This window comes from Homo sapiens, chromosome 8 (genome assembly GCF_000001405.40).
Source record: "Homo sapiens chromosome 8, GRCh38.p14 Primary Assembly".
NCBI classification, from domain to species: Eukaryota; Metazoa; Chordata; class Mammalia; order Primates; family Hominidae; genus Homo; species Homo sapiens.
Window position 1 is genome coordinate 1,125,114 of NC_000008.11, and position 25,739 is coordinate 1,150,852.

Sequence of the window (25,739 nt, forward strand, 5' to 3'; positions counted from 1 at the left end):
GGACCATTTTCCCAAGATTGACTTTAAATATTTCCCCGCTAGGATGCATGGCCTTGCATTGACAAAATGAGATACTTACAGCTTCCTCCACACATAATCTGTTACACCGTCAGGGTTGTAAAAATCTCCCTGTAAGATATTTCATTGTCATTGTCCACCTGGTACTTCCAGCCTCCAGAACGTTATGGTTAGAGCTTTGGAATCGAAATTCTACTGCATCCCGGACAAATACCTGGATCTTGATCAAATTTTTTTTATGGAAAAAAATGAGTTTCTTTCATTATGTGAAATGGAATTTCCTATGATAGCGTGATGCTTGTTTTTCAACCAATTGTAGGTACTATATTTATAATAAATATTCCTAGATTGTGTTTGAATGCCATATAACCACTTATTTTGAATTATATCATGCAGATGAAAACAACTCAACTCTTAAAAATAGGGGCTATTTCTTCTTGCGATCTAATCTGATTCAAATCTAACATTATGAAAGCCAGGTGATTTATGTTTTTATGTTTTATTAGATAAATAACATAAAAATACCCATCACAAATGGATGTTTTCTTACTAATGAGCTTTGATTTATTTGTGCATTTCAGACTCGCAAGGTTTTACGTTGTCTTGTGTATAAGTTACTGAAACCAGTGTTTGGGAATTTGAAAGCAAAACATTGCAGAGGCGGGAAGGCCGCTCTACAGCTAGGCTCTTAAGCCTGGAGTTAGTGGGGCTGAGGTGGTGGGGAGGTGGAAATGCGGGGAGGCAGAAAGGCAGGGAGGACTGTGGGAGTTGAAGAAGGACCCAGCGAGCTTGGCATTGGCATTGAGAATCCCTGGCGCCCCATCCGCCCTTTCCTGTAAATAACACATTCATCTCCATGGACACTTCCGGCTCTGGAAGTTGATAATTTGTAAAACTGTTTGTGTATCCCCTGCCATGGTCTTCTCCCACATGTCTTCGAACACGCGGGAAATCAATGACTAAAATCCCAGTGTCTGATGGCCCCTGCGGTGAATACGTGAGGCAGTGGTGCCGTGGATTCTGCATTTATGCAGATGGGCCACCTGCTCCACCTGCGAGGCTTTGGCAGAGCCATGGATTTTCACAGCCCTGTACCCTTTATTCTCAAAAATAGGTTGATTTTTTTAAGTAGGTAGGTCCTTGAAAGCTTCCTCCATATATAAAAATATATTTCCATGTAGCCAGAAACAGAACAGAGAAGAAGAGACACAGGCAGATGAGGAGGGAGGCAGGGGAGAGAAGAGACACAGGCAGATGAGGAGGGAGGCAGGGGAGAGAAGAGACACAGGCAGATGAGGAGGGAGGCAGGGGAGAGAAGAGACACAGGCAGATGAGGAGGGAGGCAAGGCAGGTGAGGGGCTGGGATCTCTCATCGTGCTGTGCGTGGACAGGAGGCAGGCAGAGATCAGGCTGGGAGATCCTGGTGGTGAGATCAGAGGCTTAGACTCCTGCTGTGGGAGGTGCTGTGCTGCTGAGGGCTTTCAGTAGGGTCTCGGGGTGATCAGAGGCTTAGACTCCCGCTGTGGGCGGTGCTCTGCTGCTGAGGGCTTTGATTAAGAGTCTCAGGGTCATGTTAGTCAGAATGTCTTTTGGAAAGAACATTTGTTGTCTCTGGAAGGAAAGATGTGCAGAGACTCTTGAGGGGTCCAGGAGACCAGACGTGGGTCTGGAGACTCCCACGGGCTCTGGAAGGCACCACCCCATTGTGGTGCAGATGAGGGGCCTCACTGGATTGTCCCTGGGGAAACGGGACTGCCCTCCAGCCAGCTCCTCCTGAGGCAGGGCCCTCGCTTGTGCCGGCCTTATGAGGGACCCCCAACCTTGTCCCCAGCCCAGCTCTTAAACTGTCCTTCTGCTTGTGTTCCTGGAGCTCATGAGGGATGCCCACCCTGTCCCCAGCCCAGCTCTTAAACGGTCCATCTGCTTGTGTTCCTGGAGCTCATGAGGGACCCCCACCCTGTCCCAGCACAGCTCTTAAACGGTCCTTCTGCTTGTGTTCCTGGAGCTCATGAGGGACCCCACCCTGTCCCCAACCCAGCTCTTAAACGGTCCTTCTGCTTGTGTTCCTGGAGCCGCCTCTTGCAGGGTTGCTGTGGCCACACTTTGAGGAATTGAAGATTTTTGTAGCTGGGCTCATTGGGGTGACTCCAGGTCGGGTGAACCCCCATTCTCTTCCTGAGTGCTACAGCCACCATGAGGGGTCATGGAACGGGCAGGCTGAGAGCCATGGGCCCCAGGTCTGGTGGCCCTGCATATGGAGGCCCATTCACGTGTAGAGGTCCCTTCGTGTGTGGAGGCCCCTTCGTGTGTGGAGGCCCCTTCGTGGCCACGTTAGAGCCTCGCGTTGCTTTTCCCCGGAGGGTGCTGTGGCTCCCAGGCTCATCATTTGGGGCAGTGGCATTCAGACCACTTGGCTGACCCTCCTGCATCCGATGGACATTGCTGAAGTGGCCTCATCCTGGAGGCCAAGCACTGAGAGGAGGGGACAGCCTGAGGGCAGCCCCAGGCCCCTCCTTTCCCTGTCCCTGTGCAGAACCCTGGAGGGGAGAGATGAGAGTGTTCCGGCATTAACAGAAAACCTTGGAAACTGCAGCTTTCAAGAAAACACTAAGGCCCAGAGGAGGACGGTTAACTACGCCCGTTCTGTTGTAACTGGATGTGAAGTAGAAAGGCTGGAGGTTGTTTTGATGTGGCCTCATAAGGGTTAAGTGGATTAGTCATTCGAGGCTTGGTATAAAGAGTCTGAACTAAGAGTCTAAAGATGCACTTTCCTATTCCGGATCTTTCAAATAATGATTAAGCCACGCAAAATGTTCTAAAATAGATTCTCATTTTCCCAATTTAAATGTAAAACAAAGTAAACCAGGCTTTTTAGGTTTACATGTTTGCCTTTTTAGAAAAGAGCAGCCCCACATTTCAATACGGTTGTGCACCATATCCCGGTGTTGTGTTCCATGAGGACCTGCTCCCCGTGTTGTGTTCCGTGAGGACCTGCTCCCCGTGTTGTGTTCGGTGAGGACCTGCTCCCGGTGTTGTGTTCCGTGAGGACCTGCTCCCCGTGTTGTGTTCGGTGAGGACCTGCTCCCCATGTTGTGTTCGGTGAGGACCTGCTCCCGGTGTTGTGTTCGGTGAGGACCTGCTCCCGGTGTTGTGTTCCATGAGGACCTGCTCCTGGTGTTGTGTTCGGTGAGGACCTGCCCCCGGTGTTGTGTTCCGTGAGGACCTGCTCCCGGTGTTGTGTTCTGTGAGGGCCTGCAGGGAACAGTGGTCCCATGGAATTATACAGCCCAGTCCTTACTGCAGTTTTTCTATGTTTAGCTGGGCTTAGATGTACAGACCCTCGCCACTGTGTTCCAGCTGCCTGCAGGACTCAGCGCGGTCACATGCTGTGTGGGTGTGTAGCCCAGAAGCAACAAGCTGCACCACACAGCCTGGGTGTGCGGCAGGCTCAATCGCCGGGTTTGTATAACACATTCTGATGTTCCCACCATGACCAGATTGGCCAACAACACGTTTCCCAGAACCTGTCCCTGGTGTTAAGAGATATGAGATTGATTTAGCTACTTGGTATTTTATATACTTACGAGCGTGTGTCAGAAATATTGAAGCATAGAACTTAGTGACTTTTTATGAGGGTCCTAAAATATCCAACATGCAAATCAGTCTCTGTTAAGAGATTAAAAGCTCATTGTAAAGTGTTGGAAGTCTGTTCTTTACTAGTTTTTGGCTGATGGAAATAAGCCCTGAAGGTACAGCATGAGTTAACCTGGATGGAAGCATCAGAAGCTCCATGAGGCAGGGTGGCCGGTGTGTGTGTCTCAGGACACTGGCAAGCTGACGCTCCCCACAGGAACTTACAATTCTTTGCCCACTGATAGTCATGTGTTTTCAGTAACAAGAAATCAAAACAAACTCACAATTCCACTTCATGGTCCTCTGTCGCTTTTGTGTACAGACATGGACATTGGAATCACATTTTAAATCTTACTTAGGGCCAGGTGCCGTGGCTCACACCTGTAATCCCAGCACTGTGGGAGGCCAAGGTGGGTGGATCACAAGGTCAGGAGTTTGAGACCATCCTGGCCAACATGGTGAAAACCCGTCTCTAGTAAATATAAAAAATTAGCCAGGCAAGGTGGCACGTGCCTGTGTTCCCAGCTGCTCGGGAGGCTGAGGCAGGGGAATTGTTTGGACCCGGGAGGCAGAGGTTGTAGCCAGCTGAGATTGCGCCACTGCACTCCAGCCGGGAGACAGAGTGAGACTCCATCTCAAAAAAAAAAAAAAAAATTTACTTAAAGAGGTAAAAACTGATTAAAAATTGAAAGTGATTTTATACTCTTCTGGAATTGAAGCAAGTCTTATCACTCACATTTGCAGCTATAATCCTAATGAAGTTTTGTAAAATGCTGGGAGGAGACGTTGATATTATTTCGAGAGGGGCACCTGCTCCCACGAGCCTTGCGGGAAGCCTGAGTTTGCCAGTGTTGCCTCGTAGGTGACTCCTGCTGTCTTGGTTTCATTTTTGCTTAGTTTTCTTGTAACTGTGGATACAGTTCGAGTTGGTGCTGGCATGTTCCATTCTCCCACGTTGTACCTTTTCACATGTTAACCTGAATCCTACGTTTTACGATAGGAAAGAATCAGTCCTTGTGGCAGAGGCCCACTGAGGAGCAGCCTGGATTCATGTCTGGGAGCGCTGACTCTGCAGTCAGCAACCGTGGGCCTTGGACCCCCAGGACCACATTTGTAAAGCCTGGATTCATGGCTGGGAACGCTGACTGTGAATTCAGCATCCATTCAGCCTTGTAACCCCAGGTGCACATTTGTAAAGTGAGTAAGGACAGGCAGTTCTAATTCTAATCATGGTCAAGGGATCCTGCGCGTGTAGCTCACGTCGGGCACTTCACACAAGTTAAGGGATCATGTCGGGCACTTCACGTGGGTTAAGGGATCGTGTCAGACACTTCACGCGAGTTAAGGGATCGTGTCAGACACTTCACGCGAGTTATATGAGATGATGCAAAGAGTGGTGTCCGATGCAGAGGGACCTTCAGTTAATCTGCCAGAAGTGAGGTGCGTTATTGACAAACGCACTCTGGCCTCTTTAGATTTGAAAGTTGTTATTTGGAGAAGGAGATGTTTGGATTGATGGGAAGTTTAGTGTTCTGTTTTTTGGTATAGATGTGATTGTATGGGTGTATTTATTTTTTCTCATTTATTATTCAAAAAAGTAATAAAAAGCAACTCACAGATATGACGATTGACATTCAAAGTAAAACAATATCAACAAGATAAACCAGGAGCAGAAGGGACCTGTCAGCATGAACCGCCGTACGCTTGAGATAAGCCAGGAATTTGTGTCTAAAAAGGGATGGAGGCTCAATTAGGTGACTCATGCACCCATTAGATAAAAGCAGATGCCGCGTTTTCTGAACCCCAACTGTAACTGGTCCCTGGCGACAAGGAGACACCCCCCTGGGTGTTTACCAGGAGGCTGTAAAGCGTGGCACGGACCAGAGGCTGCACAGCAGCATCTTCGTAACCATAGCAACCAGCAACCAGCCTCTTCCTCCCAGGCAGGGCGTCCCAAGACAGACCGCACCAGAGGCCTGATGTTTGGTGCAGTCATCTTTGCGGGAAAATGGAAGTGTGGCACAGCACGCCCCCAGCTCTGCAGCGGCTGGGCTGAGAGACCGGAGATGGGCCTCCCTGATGAGGGGAAGGGTGGCCTCTCTTCATAGCATGACCCCTAGCTCGGCAGCGGCTGGGCTGAGAGACCGGAGACGGGCCTCCCTGATGAGGGGAAGGGTGGCTCTGAGGGGCCGGTCCTGGCTGTGTCCTACTGTTGCCCAGAGCACAGCTTACTCCGTACACATTTCCTCATGCCACTCAGTTTTCTTTAGAAGGATGCGCATTATTTTCCTTAATTTTGAGAAAAAACATGTTTGTTTTTTAATGTTTTGGGAAATATAAAATGCACTCATTTTATAACAGAAGAAAAGCAGTAATTCTACCTTCACACGGTTCTCTGGATCTTTCAGCTGCTTTTCCCAGGTTTCAGGGGCCCCATTAGTAGCCACTCAGAGTCAGGGGTGCCGGGCACGTGCCTGCTTTCAGGAAAAACGAGTGACTGGCTTAGTCACCCAGGCTGCTGTAACACATTGCCATAGATGGGCGGCTGAAAACAGCACCTTCATGTATCTGTTCTGGATACTCCAGATCCACGTGCCGGCAGGTGGGGTTCCTGGTGGGAACCTTCTCCCTGGCTTGCGGGAGGCGCTTTCTCACTCTGTGCTCATGTAGGGGAGAGAGGGAGCTCTGGGCTCTTCACGTCTTATAAGTGGCTCATCCCACCTTGGGTTCTCCACCACCCACATAACCTCATCCCACCCGAATCACTTCCCAAAGGCCACACCCTCCTCTTACCGTCCCACTGGAGGTTAGGGCTTCACCGTGTGAATTTAGGGGGACACGAACACCTGCTCCATACAGTGACTTTCATGAGAATGAACATGGGTGCTGTTCCACATTAGGTGAGATGTTTGCCGGACGCGGCTGCTGTTCCACATTAGGTGAGATGTTTGCTTTGGGGTTCTGGTAAGATATGCTGTGTTACAGACATTTCCTGTATTTCTAGCTTGTGAAGGGGTTTTATCCAGAATATCTTTTGAATTCTATGCTTTTTGGGGACATCTGAGTTATTTTTTCCTCCTTGGAAATGGTCCCGTTTTTCAATGCTGAGTCATTCTTCCATTCTACTGGATTTGATTGACAGATACCTTAATTAGAATGTTTGTATCTTCATAAGTGTGACTGTTATGAATTAGAGAGGATCGATGGTGTCTTAAGCTTGACCAGCTGTGAAAGATTACAGGTTGCATTTAACTGTCAGCACAGACTAGAATAAGATGGTGTGTGTGTTCCCAGATAATGCACAAAGGTTAGTGCTGTGATCTCTTAATGAATGACAGTTTTTCATTATATGTGTTAATTGCAAAATCAACAAGCCAACCTTATTTGAGAGTAAAAATCTACTGTCGTATTTAAAAGACATAAATTTGTAGAAATAGAAAGCCATGTTTTTGATGACTTTTAAATCCTGTAGAGAGTCTTTATTTTGTTTTTGGTGATTTTTATTGCAAAATCTCTTCTGTTAATCAGTTTATGTTAAAGCCTGAGATAAAAACTAGACTACCTGAAGCATTGCCTGGAGATGGGTTAGTGAGGGACTAGCAAAACCAGCTGGTAGGTACAAATTTCTGTAATATTACAGTTAAGCTACTTGTCTTTCCTGGGTGGTTAAAAGAGGAGTGCAAGGTTAAGAATCAACTAAATAATTAAAAGACTGATCTGCAGCAGTGAATACAAAACTCACTGGTAGTTTTTCTTGGCAACATTTACTTACTGTAGCATATATGTGTACACCTTGATATAGAACTGAGCTGGCATGCACTCGCCCAACACAGTAAAGCCAGATGCTCACACCGAAGTTTTGGCAGTGATGTAAAGAAGGCGTTTACTGGAGAGCACTGGGCAAGGAGACCAGGCAGCTGCCGCTCTAATCCTGGCCTCCCTGATGGCTATAGCAAGGATTTTTAAAGGTAGGGTTGCAGAAGCTACAGGCAACATCATAAATCAACCCATGGAGGCCACACATTGGTTTAAGCTTAGAAGGGCAGGACGCCCAGTCGCTGGGGCTCATGGATCATAGATGGATTCAGAGATCTTCTCATTTGCAACTGGTTAAAGAAGAGAAGCTTTGTTTAAAAATTTGGGGGTCAACAGAAAAATGTTAACTCGCTAGAAAGACTTACTTTCTCCAAGGCCCTCAGGGAGAAATTTAGAGCAAAGGGCAATCCTTGAAGTTGTGTCTTCACTTCCCCCTAATCTGGGGTCTGTGTGTGGTGGGGTCCTTAGTCGGGGTCAGAGCCTGTGAAGGACAGTTCAAGGGCAGTTTCCAGGCGTTCCTTTAGTTTCCAGAAGAAAGCAAACATCTCTGGAGCATTAGCTTCCTTGGCTATTGTTTTAGGTGATTACCTTCTTAACAAGCTACTTAAGCACTCCTGGGGCCAGCCAGATACCTGGCATTTTTCTGAAAAGAACTTTGGAATTTTCCTTTACTTCCATGCCTGGGGGTTTGCAGGCTCCTGAAAGTGGGGGGTTTCCAGTTCATTTCAACCTCTCTGCAGAAGATTATGATTAGAAAATCATCAAAAATAAATTCATCTTTCTGTAAAACCAGGAAGTTATCATAAAATTATATTGATCATTAATAGGAGTCATGAGAAATATATATGAATAAAAATATATATTTTTTGCTTTTAGAAGGGACTTAGAATGATAAGTAATAGATATGTCTTCTGGAAAACAATTAAGTCCAACTTTATCAGAAATAGATTTCTGAAACTGTGACTATTTTGACCAAATTATAAAGCTGGTTTGGAGTTAAGAAGGGCCTGGACACAAACACTTTGCTCACCAAGTCAAAATAAATATTATTCAGATTTTATTACAGCATAAATTCTAGTTTAGCCAGCATCACAAATGTGAGGAATTCATATTAATATTAATCATATGAATGTAAGCAATAGAATTAAGAGTAATCTAAAACCAGACTTTGATTTTTGGATTTCAGATAACACAGTAGTATTTAATTTGTAATGAACATCACTCAGTTGTTTTATACAATCATAAAATCCGTATTGGGAATTGATTAACCCTTTTTTTTTTTAAGTTCAGTGGTACAAGTGCAGGTTTGTTACATAGGTAAATGTGTGTCATGGGGGTTTGTGATACAAATTGTTTCCTTATCCAGATATTAAGCCCAGTACCCATTAGTTACTTTTCCTACTCCTCCCCCTCCTCCCCCCTCCACCTCCCACAGGCCCCTGTGGATGTTGGTCCCCTTTATGCATCCATGAGTTCTCATCATTTAGCTCCCACTTATAAGACAGAACATGTGGCATTTGTTTTCTCTCCATTAGTTCACTGAGGATAATGGCCTCCAGTTCCATCTGTGTTCCTGCCAAGGACATGATCTTGTTCTTTTTATGGCTGCATAGTATTCCATGGTATACATGTACCACATTTTCTTAATCCAGTCTACCATTGATGGCATTTAGGTTGATTCCATGTTTTTGCTCTTGTGAATAGTGCTGCAATGAACGTGCATGTGTCTTAGTGGTAGAACGATGTATATTCCTTTGGGTTTATACCCAGTCATGGGATTGCTTGGTGCAATGGTAGTTCTGTTTTTAGGTCTTTGAGGCATCACCACTCTGTCTTCCACAATGGTTGAGTAATTTACACTCCCACCAACAGTGTATAAGCAATTCCTTTTTTTCTGCCACCTTGTAAGCATGTGTTATTTTTTGAGTTTTAGTAATAGCCAGGAATTTGCATTAATTAATGATAGAACTTACATTAATCATATTAATAATGTAAGCAATGTAATCTAAAACATGATTTCAAATTGAATAAACTTGTATAAGTTCGTTTTCACACTGCTATAAAGAACTGCCTGAGAATGGGTAATTTATAAAGGAAAGAGGTTTAACTGACTCACAGTTCAGCAGGGCTGGGGAGGCCTCAGGAAACTTATTCATGGTGGAAGGAGAAGCAGGCCCATATTACGTGGCGGCAGGCGAGGGAGAGCATGTGAGAGCACAGAAAAAAACACCATTTATAATATAAACCAGATCTCCTGAGAACTCACTATCATGGGAACAGTGTGGGGGAGACCTCCCTCCGTGATCCAATCCCCTCCCGCCAGGTCTCTCCCTAAACACTTGGGGGTTACCATACAAGATGAGATTTGGGTGGGGATATCAATAGAATCAATATCAAACTCTATTGATTAAACTTTGAATATGATTTTTAGTGCTAAAGAGACTCCGATAAGATGATTCTATTCTTTATTTTCTATTTCCTCCATTCTTGTCACTGAAAGGTGTCCCTCCCCAAGGACTCTAACACCTTAACCTGTAAAGCTTTCTGGGATTTGACAGTTTTTTTGCTGCTATTGGTTACATAAAATTACAAGTATAGGCACTTACCCTATATAACATTGTGGGGTTTTTTGTTTTGTTTTTGCTTTTTAACAAATACATGTCAGTTAGTATTTTCCAAGCTGCCTAAGGAAAACCTTTGTCCCCAAATCCATTTTCAAGAATTAAAAAGCAGCTTCAGGACACAGTTTCATAAAAACAAAAGCAAAGCTAAGGACCCAGGCGGCTGTCTGAGTGCATCTCGTCTTAGGGGAAAGAGCCTTTGAGGGTGCGTCAGTGGAGAGGCGGAAATGGTTTTAGGAACCACGCAGAGATAGTTACTTAGAGATTTCTCACCTTGGATCCTAGAAGGGTTTTTTTGTGGGTTTTTTTTTTTTTTTTTTTTTTTTGTCCATATCTTAAGAAGCGCTAGACTCTGAAAAGGGGCATGCGGTCTTTCAGGAGACGGAGCGTGGCACACCTAAGGGGAACGACATTCTCAAGGTGATCCCTTCCTCACTGCCTTGCGGCATGTCAGAAAGTGTGCTTTCCAGGAACTGCAGGTTGGGCGCTAAGCCTTCGTTTGAAAAAAGCCAAACCTCTCCATGGATCCCTAAGCTTACCGATGCAGAGGATGGCCACTTTTGTGGACAGTATGAGCTGGTGATATTTCTGGTAGAAAAACACGAAGGAGATGTTCATGATGACAAAACAATAGATCTCTGCTGAGCACGGGGGATTGGCAGGAATCATCGCAGGGAAGGTTGCCCGTCGTGTAATCACAAGCAATCATTTTTCGAAGTTAAGAAACGAGATTTAAACTGCTTTACAGTTTACCTCTTGGCCACAGAGCACAGAATCAATGAGCCAGATCCTCCAAAAATCAAACTTTATTCAAGTCAAGAAGCTCATTCTCTTCCTGTGCTTAAGATATTTTTCCCAACCTGCTCATGAAAAATTCACGCAAGGGATTTGAGATTCCCCTTGCCTTCCTCTTGCTTCCAGGGGAAGCTGCCAGGTAGAAGTAGTGAGGAATCTGGTATTGCACTGTCCCAAGGGGCGGGACACCTGCCTTTGAAGACCCCTGGGTTCTGCTCCCTTAGGCACATGAGTTGGGTTGACCTCACACCTGGCCTCAATTTCCAGCCCTCTCATTTACCAGCGAATAGACTTCAAACCTCGTAAAAAAAAACTCCCCTCCCATCAGCCATGAAGTGGGCTTGTAACTCAGATGCCCCGCAGCCTGTCCACAGCAGATGCTCGTGGGAGAGAAGGGAGTGGGAACACAGCTTCCCTGCAGCAGCAGATCTGGACAGCTCTCTGGCTCCCCATACAGGCCGGGGTGGATGCCCTCCTCATCGTCAGGCTGGCTCTGCATAATCAAAGCTTCCTTCGTGAGGGCCACGGCAGACAACGTGGCTAGCACCAAGTACGGTGCCTGGTGTGTAGACAACATAGGGCACTCAGATCTAGTGCCTGGTGCACAGCAGACCCATGACTCTGAACACATGACTATGCTCAGTAAAAACGTCTTTCTCTATGCTCTTCAAATTGAATGTGGATTCCCCCAGCTTCGTGCCTGAAGAGAGTGAGGAACCACCCGAAGCCAGCTCTTGAGGCTGGCAAACATGGAGGCCAGGGAGCAGGAGCACACGGGGCGTGTTGGTGGTGCAGGTGCGCCTAGAAGACCAGGCCTGGCTGCTCTCCAGAATGACCATTTTTAAATGTAGTGATCTTAAATGGTGAAGAGTAAATGCTCAGAACAAAGACATTTGATAGCACCTGTTGAGTGCTGGAGGTATTCTGTTTGTGCTGCTTCAACTTGTGTGTAGTATGTCTGAAAAACTGTAATCCTGCCTCTCAAGATGGTGCCCAGCCACTGTGCTAGCTCAGGCCATGATCCCAGAATGGCTCAAACAACAGGAACTTATGTTCTTGCAGTTCTGGAGGCTGGCAGTCGAGGACAAGGGGCCCATAGCCTGGTTGGTTTCTCCTGAGGCCTCTCTTCCCAGCTTGCAGCGTGGCCTCCTCCTTGTGGCCTCCTCCCTGTGTGCCGGGGCCTCCCCTCTGTGCATGAGTAGGGGAGAGCCCTGGCATCTGTTCCCCTTGTTACAAAGACACCAGTCCTATTGAATTAGGGTTCACTCAAAACCTCATTTAACCTGGATTGTTTCTTCCTAGGCCGTCTCCAAACTATAGTCCTATTGGACTGGTGCACCAAATATGGATTTGGGGTGTGCGTAATTCAGTCCATAGCACCCACCAAACCACAGAAGCTGCCCCGAGCTGATGTCCCGCTATCGGTGCGGCTGCAGGACACTGTCCCATTGCTGCATGGAGCCTCTCGCTGTCTGAGCCTCACCTGAAGCCGGCCCACACCATTTTCTTACTCTATGCATTGGAGCGAAAATGTTTAATTGACTACGATGGGTGATTCCTAAAGTTATATTTGACTCAGAAAAAAATGCATTAGTAAAACTCCCTGTTTGAATGTTTCTAGTATTCACAGCCCGGGTCACTGTCTTTCTATAACGATTGGTATCTGAAATAAGAACATGGGCTGCAACTTACAGCCTTGCTCTTTCTACTATATAAACTTCCCTAATCAAATATTTTTCATTAAAAAAATGTGTTTTTGGAAATAAACAGTTACAACCTGGTTCCCAGCTATCTCTTTTTATTTTTTTTCTTTTAAGACAGAGTCTAACTCTTGCCCAGGCTGGAGTGCAGTGGCGTGACCTCAGCTCACTGCAATCTCTGCCTCCGGGGTTCAAGCAGTTCTAGTGCTTCACCCCCTGGGGTAGCTGGGACTGCAGGCATGGGCCGCCATGCTGGTCACAAACTCCTGGCCTCAAGCAATCCACCCGCCTCAGCCTCCCATCATGTAGGATTACAGGCGTGAGCCACGGCGCCCGGCCCCCTCTCTCGATGGAAGCTTTTCACATCCACACTGCCCCGCTGACACCGGGATGGCAGCTCTTAATCCCTTGATGCCATGAATCCAGCAGAGCGAGCCTGAGAATGGATTTGAGGGGAAACGGGGTGTCTCCCAGCTCACTGGTGCTCAGCTTTGGAAAGCGCAGCTCCTGGGTGGCTTTCCTCAATGCTCCCTGAGTCCCCTGTTGGTTCTCTAAGCATCGCAGGAGCCTAGGTTTCCCCTGGGAGCCACTTGGGGAGGCCTGGGTGTCCTGTCTGCATGCCGATGAAGACCTCACAGGGGGCTGGAAGCTCTGCAGGCCCTGCCTGCCCTGCATGCTTCCCCCACTGCGAGGGATTTCTCCACAGATCTGGCTTCTCCCCTGCTGAACCTGTGCTTTCTGATCTGCCTCACTCGTGGCCTCACTCATGGCCATCGGCCCTCAGGTCCACGGGGCCCTGAAAATGCTTTGAATAGAGCAGGCTGGGGTGGGCTGGCAAGCAGAGAGGGACACAGGCAGCCCATTAGAAACACGAGAAGACACTGAGAAGTTCAAGTGCGAATAAAGTGCCGAGTGACATTCCCAACGAATTCCGTCTTTAAATGGAATGTTGCTGGCCTCCCTCTCAGGTCTGCAAAAATATTTTTTGAAGCCAAGTTTCAGTCTGCAGCGGTGCCTTCTCTTCCTGTTTATTTACTAGTCCTGGCCTGTGCGGCTGGTGGGAAATTCTTCTTGTTTATTTACTTGTCCTGACCTGTGCAGCTGGTGGGAAACTCTTCCTGTTTATTTACTAGTCCTGGCCTGTGCGGCTGGTGGGAAACTCTTCCTGTTTATTTACTAGTCCTGGCCTGTGCGGCTGGTGGGAGACTCCTCCTGTTTATTTACTTGTCCTGGCCTGTGCGGCTGGTGGGAAACTCTTCCTGTTTATTTACTGGTTCTGGCCTGTGCGGCTGGTGGGAAACGTTCACCCTGCCTCAGCCCCCTGGCTGGTTACGCACTGTTCTAGTTGAAGGAACTTTTGAAATTGCTCTGGAAGTCCTGGTTGTTCAGGTGTTTCCTCGGGTGATGACTGTTTCCTGAGCGCCTGCTGCCGGCCGCTGCGGCCTGGCTGGGGGGATGTGGGCATGGGTGGCCTGCTGGGCTGCCTGTGAGACTGGGGTGTGCACAGGGCGGGGGGAGCTCCCAGCCACCAATGGCTGCCCCTCGTTGCCCCTGTGTTCTCTGCCAACAGCTGTGCTTATCTTACAAAATCAGGTCAGTAAGCACTGTCTCAGCTGAGGCTGCAGGGATGCAATACCATAGGCTGGGCAGCCTTGTCAGCAGACATTTCCTTCTCACAGTTCTGCAGGCTGCAAGTCCGTGATCAAGGTGCAGCAGGTGTGGAATCTATGGATGATGGTGTCCTGGCTCACAGATAACACCCTCTCATGTGTCCTCACGTGGAGCAAGGGGCCTCCCTCGGCGCTAATCCCATTTGCAGGAGCCCCACCCTCTCAACCTAGTCACCTCCCAAAGCCATCACCTTGGGGGTTAAGATTTCACTGTGTGAATCTTGAGGGTACAAACATTCAGTCCGTGGCAAGTAGGAAGCCCACAGGTCACTAATTAACATGAAGCCCAGGGAGACACTTTATCAAGGGAACAGTAAGGCCACCTAGAACTGTGGCACCCGACAGGCCCCTGTTATTTCAGGACCTTCTTGGAGAGGGAGTGAGGATGGTGCCTGGCACAGGGTTTGGGGTCTGACAGGTCCCAGGGGCTCTCTCAGCACCGTAAGTGTATTAACTTTTTTAATTCTCATAAGGGGTCTGTGGCGTAGGGTTCTATTACTGGCTGCAGTTAAGGTGAGGGAAATCGGGGGGAAGTGAGGGGATTTCCCTGAGGTCACACGGCTGGTATTTGGCAGAGCGAGGCTTGAACTTGGATATTCTGGGGCCTGAGCCAGCCTTGCTGCCCTCTCCACTGTGCAGGAACATGGCACATTTTCATAACATTTCAAATTTTAAATGGTGCTTTTTTTCTATGTAAGCATCATAACAGTGTGGCCATCAGCCCAGTAAGAAGAATCATCTCCCATTTCCATTACAAGGAAACCTAGATTCAGAGCAGATACAGCACTTGGCCAGGCCCATGTCGTAGCGGGGAGGTGCGACCAGGGTGACATGAAACTCCGGGCCTCAGCGCTCGTCCCGCTCTGCCGAGGGCATTCCTGGATGAAGTGTTGCCGGGTGGGTGACAGCACCTCTGCTCCTTGGGAGGCTCTGGATGGTCCCACGCCTTCCCTCTGGCCTCCCTTCCATCTGGAAGGCAGAACAGGGCACACACACCTGCTCCGTCCTCTTTGCAGTCTCCTCCATGCCTCATGCCCTAGGGTGCTTGTTCCCCTACCAGTGGTCTGTCCCAGCAACTCCCAGAACCAGCCCTGGTGCCCTTCGGAGGCCCCTGGGTCCCATGCACCTGCTCAGAGGCCTCCTGGGGCTCTGGCCCTCATCCTCCTTTCCCTCACTCAGCCGGGCTGGGAGCTGACTTATCAGAGGCCCCATAGGGCTCTGGCCCTGACCCTCCCTTCCCTCACTCAGCCAGGCTGGGAGCTGACTTCCTAGGTTGTCCTCCTGTAGTTCTTGCCACCTTGTTCTTTTTAAATTCCCTGCCTTGGCCGGGCACAATGACTCATACCTGTAATCCCAGCACTTTGGGAGGCTGAGGTGGGCAGATCACTTGAGATCAGGAGTTCAGAGACCAGCCTGGCCAACAGGGTGAAACCCTGTCTCTACTAAAAATACAAAAATTAGCTAGGCGTGGTGGCATATGCCTGTAATCCCAGCTACTCAGAGGCCAAGGCAGGAGAATCGGCAGAAAAATCGCTTGAACCGGGGGGTGGAGGTTGCAGTGAGCAGAGATTATGCCACTGCACTCCAGCCTGGGTGACAGGGCAAGACTCTGTCTCAAAAATAGATAAAAATGATAAGTTCTCTGTCTTCTTCATTGAAGGTGTGGCAGGAATGTGGTTTGGTTTCCTTGGGTCTGTCTTTGTTGAGTTCAGGACTCTGCTGTGTCCTGTGGACAGTAATGATGGGGAGGCCGTGCTGCCTGGAAAAGGCAGCTTTCTCCTGGGGAGGGACTGAGGGGCTTTTACGTGGGGGCTGGGTCATGACTTCCAAAGCAGATGTGGGAGTGACAGGGAGTGTTCAACTGAGATTAGAGAAAGGTGTTCGTTTCAACTGAGCGTTGAAAGTTGAATACTTTTTAAATTAACTTATTTTTAAATTCTGTAACTGGATTCCCCAACAAAATTGAATTTGGGCTAAAGAAACCCAATTGGACCTGATTTATTTTATGCTTGATAAAGCATTTCAAGCATTATTTTATGCTTAAAAACTCACGGGCACGTGAATCAGAACTCTTGAATTCCACACAGCTGATGGTTAGAAGAGAGCCTATATTATTAAAAAAAGAAAAATGTAATCCAGAATGTTGGTGTTGTGGTCAAATAGGATCTTTCTTATATTATTAATGGGAACTCAGACAGCCATAACCTTTATAAGAGATTACACCAATTCTAGAATATTTTTCCTGTGGACATACTCAAAGACATGGGTAAGTATTAGCAAAAATTTGGAAACAACCTTCAGGTTCTAACATAGAGGAATGAGAAAATGAATTATGTACCCAAAACTTGGCAACAAAAATCATAGTCTTCAAGAATATTTAATAACATGAGTAAAGTGCTTAACATATAAAAATGACTGAAAAAAATGACTCAAGGCTGAATACTAATGATATTTATACAAAAGCTTGATGCTTATGTTTAGATTTTAGATGCTTTCTTTGTTTCTCTAAATTTTGAAAAATATTTTCAAAAATTTCTGAAATGAACTCATTATAATTTTTAAGCATGCTATAAAGATTGTATATGGAAAAATTTGCAAATAAGTAAGCTTATTTTTTGTTTAAGAATGACTTGGAGAAATACATCTCAAGGTATTTTTCTGCTTTTTAGATGATTCAGAAGTGTCCATATTCTGCCTACGTATATAAGTTTTTTTTTTTGCTATGAAATTGCCATTTTAGACAATCGTTTTTCCTAAGAAATCTTTGGAAAGTAAATTTGCATTTTATTTAAGGATTTGAAGATCTTTAAGGTTCTGAGAGGTTGCTATACAGTTTTTTGTGTGTATTAATTGTATAATAAAATTATGCATCATAAGGTGGTTCACCAACAGAATGAAGGGTTATACAGTTAATTTTTTTCTGAAGAAAAAAAGTACGACACAGAAGCCATGAGTTCTGAGCATCACATGCCTCATAATTTTAAATGTTAGAGAAAATGAGTTGATAGGCTTAGCATATCCCTTGAACGTAGAGATTTGCAAGAAAGAAGCTAGATGCAGTGTTCGCACACAGAGATTAGAAGGGAAGCCAGTGTTCCCTTATGGCTTCGATAGATATTTGTGAATTATTTGGGTCTAGTATAGAACATCTTTTGTAAAAGTGCCATAAGAAGATAAAACATGGCATTTCTGACGTGAAGAGCTGAAAAGGGCAGGTCTCAATTCATGCTTGTTCTGTAAGCCCTGGAGTCACAGGGTTTTGGGAAGTGCGGCGACTTCGGTGAAGTGGTAACAGCTGTTCCGTTGGCCGTTGGAACGGCTTTGCTAGGGCAGGACGGGGCTGCCATTGTCATCCCTGCATTATTGGAGTCAGGACAGTTCTAGGCATGGGGAGGGTGAGGGGAGGGAGGTTAGGCAGAGGATTGAAAAGCAAGGAAAGCCAGCCCTTCAGGAGAGACCTGGCGGGAGGAGGAGATGCTGGGATCATGGCGTGGGGAGCAGCAGGTGGGCAGGGCACACCCAGGTTTCCGAAAAGCCAAGAGGGGTCGTATCCCCTTCCTTTCAGAATTGCTCGTCATGTTCTCATAGAGACTTTCCCAGGGAGAACTACACAGGATAGAGGCCATTTTTCCTGAGATTGGATTTATAGGAAGCTGGCAGGACAGCATCCCCTCTGCAGGGGCCTCAGGGTGTGGGACTGCCGGCCACAGCGGGGCCACCAGCTGCTTGATGTTAGCGCAGCGGCCACCCTCCAGCCAGGGTTCTCTCCTTTATAAATTGGGGGAAACAGTCTCTCCCAGTCTCTGCTGCTGTTCTCTGTATAAAGTTACTATATGACAAGGGTAAAATGAAAACACATACAATGTGCTGGAAAGGACAGAAAGTTCCACAAACTGACGTGAATGACGCACTGAAACATAGACATCCTAAGCAGGGTGTCTGTCTGAAATGGGCAATAAGGAGAATTTCTCTAAAATCTCTGCATTCAAATTTTTAGTTTACTGTTTCACCACTCTGAGTATCTCCCCTTAATATCTCTATCAAACTTTCAGTTTTTGGTTCCACGGTTTCTTTCCAAAAAGCTACAGACGGGATATTTACTGAGTTGTGATAGCACTATGTTTCAGGAACTGGAACAGGAACCCACGGGTGTGGTGGATTTCCGTGAGGTGCTTCAAGTTACATCTGGTCAGCGCTCAGGACTCAGCCCCGGGCTCTCCAGGCTGCCTGGGAGGGAAGTGCAGTTCTGCAGGCGGCATCTGAGAGGCTTCAGAACGGGCCTCTCCTTCCCTCACCCACGCTCCCCACTATTTGGCCCACGGATGCTACACGCTGGCCACCCTAAGTCACTGGGTGCCCTCACCTTGTTCTCTGTTCTTTCAAACCCAACCTCCCCAACAGTCACCAGCACCTCTGTGTGCAGGCATTGTTGCTTTCCCTTCTGTGCAGTGCTGGACCCTCCTGACCTGCACCTGTGCCCCTCACTGAGGGTCTGTGCAGATGCAGCTTTCTGTCTCCATTGCTAGCTCAGCTAGCAACATAACAGAGGACTAGATGCACGTGTGTTATTTGAATGGCATAACAGATAAGGGAAGGCAAGATAATTAGGAGGAATTTTGGAATACCTGGAGTTAAGACCATATTCCCCACAAAGCGCATCTTAGTCCTGTTATTTCCCCACAGCACCGCTTGTTTCCTCCATTGCATACCTTTCCCCTGTGCTCAGAATGTGAGGAATGATATCGAGTAAATTAATGAGGGGAGTCACGGAAGAATAAAGATGAGGCAAAAAGAAAGGAGGGGAATGGCTTCCAGCGGGCGCGTTTTCACCGCCCTGTGCTGGAAAGGCACTTAGGAAGATAATGAATATAAACTCACACTATCTGGACACAGATGGAGAAGGCGGTGGAGCATTTGAGTGGATGATTAAAGAGAAAAACAAATCAGGAGGTAAAATTACTGTTTATGGGCCAGGGAGGCCACGTCCTAAAGTTTAGTGGAATTGTGCTTTAGAAAGAATGCTGTAAGAAATCCAGAAGCTGTGAAGACGGTAAAGACAATGATGACAGTGAGCTTTCTTGTTTCTTTGAGGCTTCCGAATGCTCCTCCCCAGTCTGCGTCCTGCTTTGACTGGACGTTGCAAACAAAAGATTCTTGCTTTGTCTGTCTCCATCCTTTCGACCACCTCCAGAAGCTACAGGAAATAAACGCTCTTTCCATCCTGGTCCCTTTGCCACCCACAAATACGGAGAAGTTGCGTCTAGGTAAATATTAATCTCTGCTTCTGCTTTTCCTTCCTGTGTGCTGTGAATACAGGCCCTGTCTGCAGTTTTACTTTTGGCTGAAGTAGCCCATGCTCTAGGGTCCATCCAGGAAACACACAGCGCACAGTCAAACCGCAGACGGCCTGTACCCACAGTCAAACCACAGACGGCCTGTATGCACAACCAAACCGCAGACGGCCTGTACCCACAGTCAGACCGCAGACGGCCTGTATGAACAGTCAAACCACAGACGGCCTGTACCCACAGTCAAACCGCAGACGGCCTGTACCCACAGTCAAACCGCAGACGGCCTGTACCCACAGTCAGACCGCAGACGGCCTGTATGAACAGACAAACCACAAATGGCCTGTATTCACAATGCAAAGGAAGGAAAAGCAAAAGCAAAAGTTAATATTCACCTAGATGCAACTTCTCTGTATTAGTAGGTGGCCAAGGGACCAGGATGAAAAGAGCATTTATTTCCTGTAGCTTCTGGAGGTGGCCAGGAGGATGGAGACAGACAAAGCAACCAGAAACACAACTTTCCCCCCAGCCACCATCCAGAAACACAGCTTCCCTCCAGCCACTGTACAGAAACACAGCTTGCCCCACCCAGCCACCATCCGGAAACACAACTCCCACCCACCCACCATCCCTCCAGGAAGCCGCTGTTTTTAATCCCCTCCCATGAGTTATGAATTGTGTCTGGTGTGGTGGACCCTGGAGCATGGGCTTGTTGGCTGCGGTTCCACTCGCCCAGCGTGGGGCCTGGGAGACCTGGCTGAGCTGGTGTGTGGTGTCCTCTGTACATGACTCCACTGTGGTCTCCCGTCCTGTGGGTGTGCATGCTTCATCCATCCATTGCAACGTCAACAGACCCCTCTCCTCCTTCCACTTCTCTCCTCCTGTTTTCTAGTTTGAAACTCTTACCAATAATGCTGCTGTAAACATCTTCTGCATATTTTTGGTGAATCTATGGATGTATTCTTTTTTTTATTATACTTTAAGTTTTAGGGTACATGTGCACAATGTGCAGGTTAGTTACATATGTATACATGTGCCATGCTGGTGTGCTGCACCCATTAACTCGTCATTTAGCATTAGGTATATCTCCTAATGCTATCCCTCCCCCCTCCCCCCACCCCACAATAGTCCCCAGAGTGTGATGTTCCCCTTCCTGTGTCCATGTGTTCTCATTGTTCAATTCCCACCTATGAGTGAGAATATGCGGTGTTTGGTTTTTTGTTCTTGCGATAGTTTACTGAGAATGATGATTTCCAATTTCATCCATGTCCCTACAAAGGACATGAACTCATCATTTTTTATGGCTGCATAGTATTCCATGGTGTATATGTGCCACATTTTCTTATGTATTCTGTTGTGTGTGGGTAGCCCCAGGATGCCGGGTGGCAGAGCATGCCTGTCCCCTCTAACACATCCCAGCAGACACTTCACTCCACCAACCCACACACCCACTGCCAGGCCAGGAGGGCGCCTGCCACACATCTCTGCAGCCACGAGGGTGTCAGCCTCTCCACAGGAGCCCCTGCAGGTGCTGTGACAGCATCTTGTCATGGTTTAATGTAACTTCCTGGATGCTCGGTCACCTCGAACGTCTTTTCTTTATCTGCCATCTGATATCGCGTAGCCTCTGTTAAGAAGGGCTGAATGGAGTCCCGTGCTCATTTTCCTAGTGTGCTGTCTTTACGGATTCCAGATATGAGGCCCTTTACAAACACAGGTTTTTCTAACGCCTCTTGCTCTGTGGGACATCTTTTCATTCTCTTAAATGGAATCTTTGATGATCAGAGGTTCTTACATGTAATTCAGTGCCATTCATCAATATTATCCTTTGTAGTTAGAACTTCCATTAGGTTCTGGAAGCGTTCCTGCGTGTATTTAGACCTGTAATATCTCTGGAACTGTGTGTGTGCACATGTGTGTGTATGCACATGTGTGTGCACCTGCGCATGTGTGTGCATGCACGTGTGTGCATGCATGTGTGTGCATGTGAGTGTGTGCATGCACGTGTGTGTGCATGTGTGTGCATGTGCCTGTGTAGGGAGAGGGGGGGCTACATTCATTCCTTTTCCTAAGGCATATCCAGTTGGCCCAGTACCAGCTATTGAAAGGACAAGCCGTCCCCACTGTCCTGAAGTGCAGCCTTTCAGAGTTCAAGTCCCCACACAAGGGTAGGCCTGTTTCAGGGCTGCCTATTAGAACCATTGATCTCTTTGTCAAACACTGAGCCAATTCCTCACTGCCACAATTATTTTTATTGCCGGATCTTGCTTTTCTTTTCTTCCAATAAATTTCTCCTCTTCAGAATTGGCTTTATGTTCCAACCCTGCATTTCCAGATGAATTTTAAAATCTGCCTCTCAGTTTTTAAAGAACAACTCATTGGGCTTTGATTAGGAATTTATGGAATCCGTAAATTAAAATTTGGACATTTGGCATCCTTATATTGAGTCTTTCAAATGCATTGACATGGTAGTTTCTTCCATTTCTTTGGGCCCTCTGAAGTTTCTCCCAGTGTTTTACAGTTTTCTGTGTATTTGTGCATCTTCCTTAGATTTATCATAGGTATTCGATATTTCCTCATGCTATTGTAAACTTTATGTGCGTCAAAAAAATGATGCTTTTGTAAAAATGAAACTCTGTAAAATAATTTACAGGTTTTTTATTGCTATTGTATGGAAATACATTTTTTATTAACTTTGATTCTAGTGATCTTGCTACATTTATGTATTATTTAACTCTATTTTTTCTGTAGACATTTTAGACTTTCTACATTTATAAGTTGTCTGCAAATGCCAGTTTTATTATCTTTCTTTTGAAATTCATAAATTGAATTTCATTTAACGTTTTTCTCATCAAGATGATTATGTAATTTTTATACCTTCTTCTTTTTTTTTTTTTTTAAAGACAGAGTCTCTGTCACCCAGGCTGGAGTCCTGTGGTGAGATCAGAGTTTACTGCAGCCTTGAACTCCTGGCTCAGGCTCTCCTTCTGCCTCAGTCACCCTAGTCACTGAGACTAAAGGCAAGTTCCACCAAGCTCAGCTAATTTTTTCAGAGACAGGGTCTTGCTGTGTCTCCCAGGCTGAACTTGAACTCCAGGCCTCAAGTGATCCTCCCACCTTGACTTCCCAATACAGTGGTATAGTGATTGATTTCTGAATCATAAATGAAATTTTGATTCCTGAAATAAATACAATAATTTTATAATTTAAAAATTGTTTTAACATGTAATATTTGCTAATGTTTTATTTAGTGTTTTTCTATTTACGTTTACAACAGATTGTCTATTTTTTAAAATCCCTTTGATTTGGAATTAAAGTTAATCTGGCCTCAAGACAAGTTTGAGAAGTGTTTCTTTTTCTCTACTGTGAAGAATTTGTATAGTTTATATTATTTATTCTTTAAACATTGGAAATATTTCTGGAGAAGCCATCTACTTCTGGTGGTTCTCTTATGTGAAGGTATAATTACAGATTTGATATCTTTTCTAGACAGGACTGTTAAGATTTTTTTATTTCTTCTTGTGTCAGTTTTTATAAGTTGTGTTTTCCAAGGAACTTTTCCATTTCAGTTGGATTTACAAATTAGTGATAGAAAATTAGTTACACCACCCTCTTAAAATATTCTCATGTCTTTAGGATCTGTGATTATTTTCCTTTTCAATTCTGATGTTATTGCTTTAAGCTTCTTTTGTTTTCTCTATTAGTTTTAATAGGAATTTATCAATATTACTAGTCTTTTAAAGAATAATATTTTTTGATTTTGTTGATTTTTTTCCCTACACTGTGTTTTTAAATTAATTTCTGCTTTAATCTTTGTTGTTTCTTCATTTGGATTTAATTTCCTATCCTTATTCTAATTTCTTGTGATTGATGTTTAGACTTTTATCTTCTAATATATGAACTTAATACTTCAATTTTTTATGTTCAGCTTTAGCTGCCTCTCGAGTATTAACATTTAATAATTGAATGAGCTTCAGCTTAAAACATTTTCTAATTTTCATTTTATTTCTCTTTTGACAAAAATATTTTAGAAGTATATTTCTTAATTTTAAAATAATTTGCCATTTTCTAGTTAGCTTTTCATTATTGAGTTCAAATTTAATTCTACTGTAGTCAGATAATATATTCTGAATGTATTTTACGTATTTCAATTACTTGAGCTTTTCTGGGTCTTTTTTTAGGTTCCTGCATATGGCCAATTTTGGCAAATGTTTTGTGTGTACTTAAAAAATGAAATTCTTTTATTTCTGACTTCAGTGGTCTCTATGTATCAATAATTCAGTATTAATCCTTGTGTTCAGATGTTTTAAATCTTATATTTTCGGATTAATTTATGTGCTTAATTGATCAGATTTATCCAGGTTTGTTTATTTTTGCTTTTGATTCTGTCAATTTTTGCATCTGATATTTTGAAGTCACATAGTGGGATGTACAAATTCAGATTGTCATACCTTCCTGAAAAATTCACTATTTTATCATTGTGGAATTACCCTCTTTTTTTTTTGGTTTGAGATGGAGCCTCGCTCTGTTGCCCAGGCTGAAGTGCAGTGGCGCAATGTCGGCTCACTGCAAGCTCCGCCTTCTGGGTTCACGCCATTCTCCCGCCTCAGCCTCCCGAGTAGTTGGGACTACAGGCACCCGCCACCGCACCCGGCTAATTTTTTTTGTATTTTTAGTAGAGGCGGAGTTTCACTGTGTTAGCCAGGATGGTCTCGATCTCCGGACCTCGTGATCCGCTCACCTCGGCCTCCCAAAGTGCTGGGATTACAGGCACCAGCCACCGCGCCTGGCCTGAAATTACCCTCTTTATCTCTTTCAGTGATTTCAGTCTTAAAATCTACTTATCTGATTTTAGTATATATCAGTTTTCTTTGGGTTAATATTTGCATGTTATGTCTTCTTTCATCATTTTACTTTCACACTTACTATATTCTAATATTTAAGTTTTATTCTTTAAGCATATAGTTGTTTCTATTTTCATCTGGTCAGACTGTATATATTAAATGTAATTCATGACATCCAGGAATTTCATCTGCCATCTTACTATTCCTGTTGTATTCTCCACTTATTTTATATTCTTTGTTCTCCCTTTCTTGCATCCAGTTGTATTGACCTAGATTTATCTTTTTTATTCCACATTTTCCTCTCTTGACTCGTCACTTTCACTTTCAGTAGTTCCTGAGGATCACCACAGTCATCTCTAGGTTATTAGAAACTCAGACCGATGGGTGTTATTATCACCTTCCAGAAAATGCCAAGACCCTGGAACCTTTTAACTCCTCTGATATCTTCCTGCTCTGTGTTTAGCCACAGATACGAATTCTGTATGTATGTTTAAGGTCAGTAAGACATCAGTGTTATTGTTTTGTGTGGTTGATATTTAGATTTAGTGACCCACATATTCACCTTTCTTTGCTCTTCATTTCTTCACTTATTTCCTTGTTTTTTCTGGGGTTGTTTTGTTCCTCCCTGAAGAGCTCCCCTAATTTTTGCTTTAGTGTGAATCTCTTCGAAGAAAATTCTCTCAATTTTTGTTTGCCTAGAAATGTCTTCATTTCGGCTTTTGATGAAAAAGATGTTTTCTCAGCTCTAGAACTGTAAGTTGGCAGTTATCTGTTTCAGCCTTTTAAAGCTGTCATTACACTGTCTTCTGCCTTCCCTGTTTTTATTAGGAAGCCAGGGCATGGTATCATTGCTTAAATCTTACGTTTCTTTGGCTTCTTATAATATTTTCTCTTTGCCTTTGGTTTTTAAAAGTTTTACCCTGCTGTCCTAGGCATGGCTTTGTATCCATGTGTTCTGTGTAGAGCTGAAGGCTGAAGAATCTTCTATCTGGGAATGCAGGACTGTGCCAGATTTGTCTTTTATACTTAAAATTCCCCTTGGGACAGAGACGAGGATTTGTCATCATGCCTCATTCCTATGAATCTACTGTGGCTTCTAGAAAATCCAAGGAGAGAAGGGTGGTGTCCATGCCCTGTTGACAGGATTGGACACTGCTCAACTTGGAGGTTATTCTAATGCTAGAGAAAGAAAAACAAAATGGATGAATATAACACTTTCTTCCATGTAATAATGGACATAGAAGTGAGAGCATACATGTCAGACTCAAAAACATAGATGAGTTCTTAAAAACTGAAAAAAAGTGTTATGTGAGAATCTGAAAAACTAAATATCATTATTTGAAATATATTAAAC

At 45.2% G+C, this 25,739-nt stretch overlaps 1 protein-coding gene across 2 annotated transcripts in view, besides 2 other annotated features; it reads left to right on the forward strand.

Moving 5' to 3' along the window:
- Positions 1-25,739, forward strand: part of DLGAP2 (DLG associated protein 2) — a 970,849-nt gene that overhangs the window by 387,486 nt on the left and 557,624 nt on the right. Inside the window, exon 4 of one of the 2 annotated variants that reach the window (NR_073397.2) lies at positions 12,186-12,664. The exons of the other annotated variant lie outside the window; for it this stretch is intronic. The gene's annotated coding sequence lies outside the window, so the exon portion shown is untranslated. Of the gene's footprint in view, positions 1-12,185; positions 12,665-25,739 lie in introns of those variants that run through there. 2 annotated transcript variants of the gene reach the window in all.
- Positions 7,731-8,362: an enhancer, noted in NCBI's record as "OCT4-NANOG-H3K27ac hESC enhancer chr8:1082844-1083475 (GRCh37/hg19 assembly coordinates)". NCBI's record gives its function as "activates a minimal SCP1, AML or CMV promoter by ChIP-STARR-seq in naive H9 embryonic stem cells {active_cell/tissue: H9 hESC(naive)}" and the evidence as "EXISTENCE:reporter gene assay evidence [ECO:0000049][PMID:30033119]".
- Positions 7,896-8,190: a silencer, noted in NCBI's record as "tiled region #700; HepG2 Repressive non-DNase unmatched - State 22:ReprW". NCBI's record gives its function as "represses a minimal TATA promoter and a strong SV40 promoter by Sharpr-MPRA in HepG2 cells {active_cell/tissue: HepG2}" and the evidence as "EXISTENCE:reporter gene assay evidence [ECO:0000049][PMID:27701403]".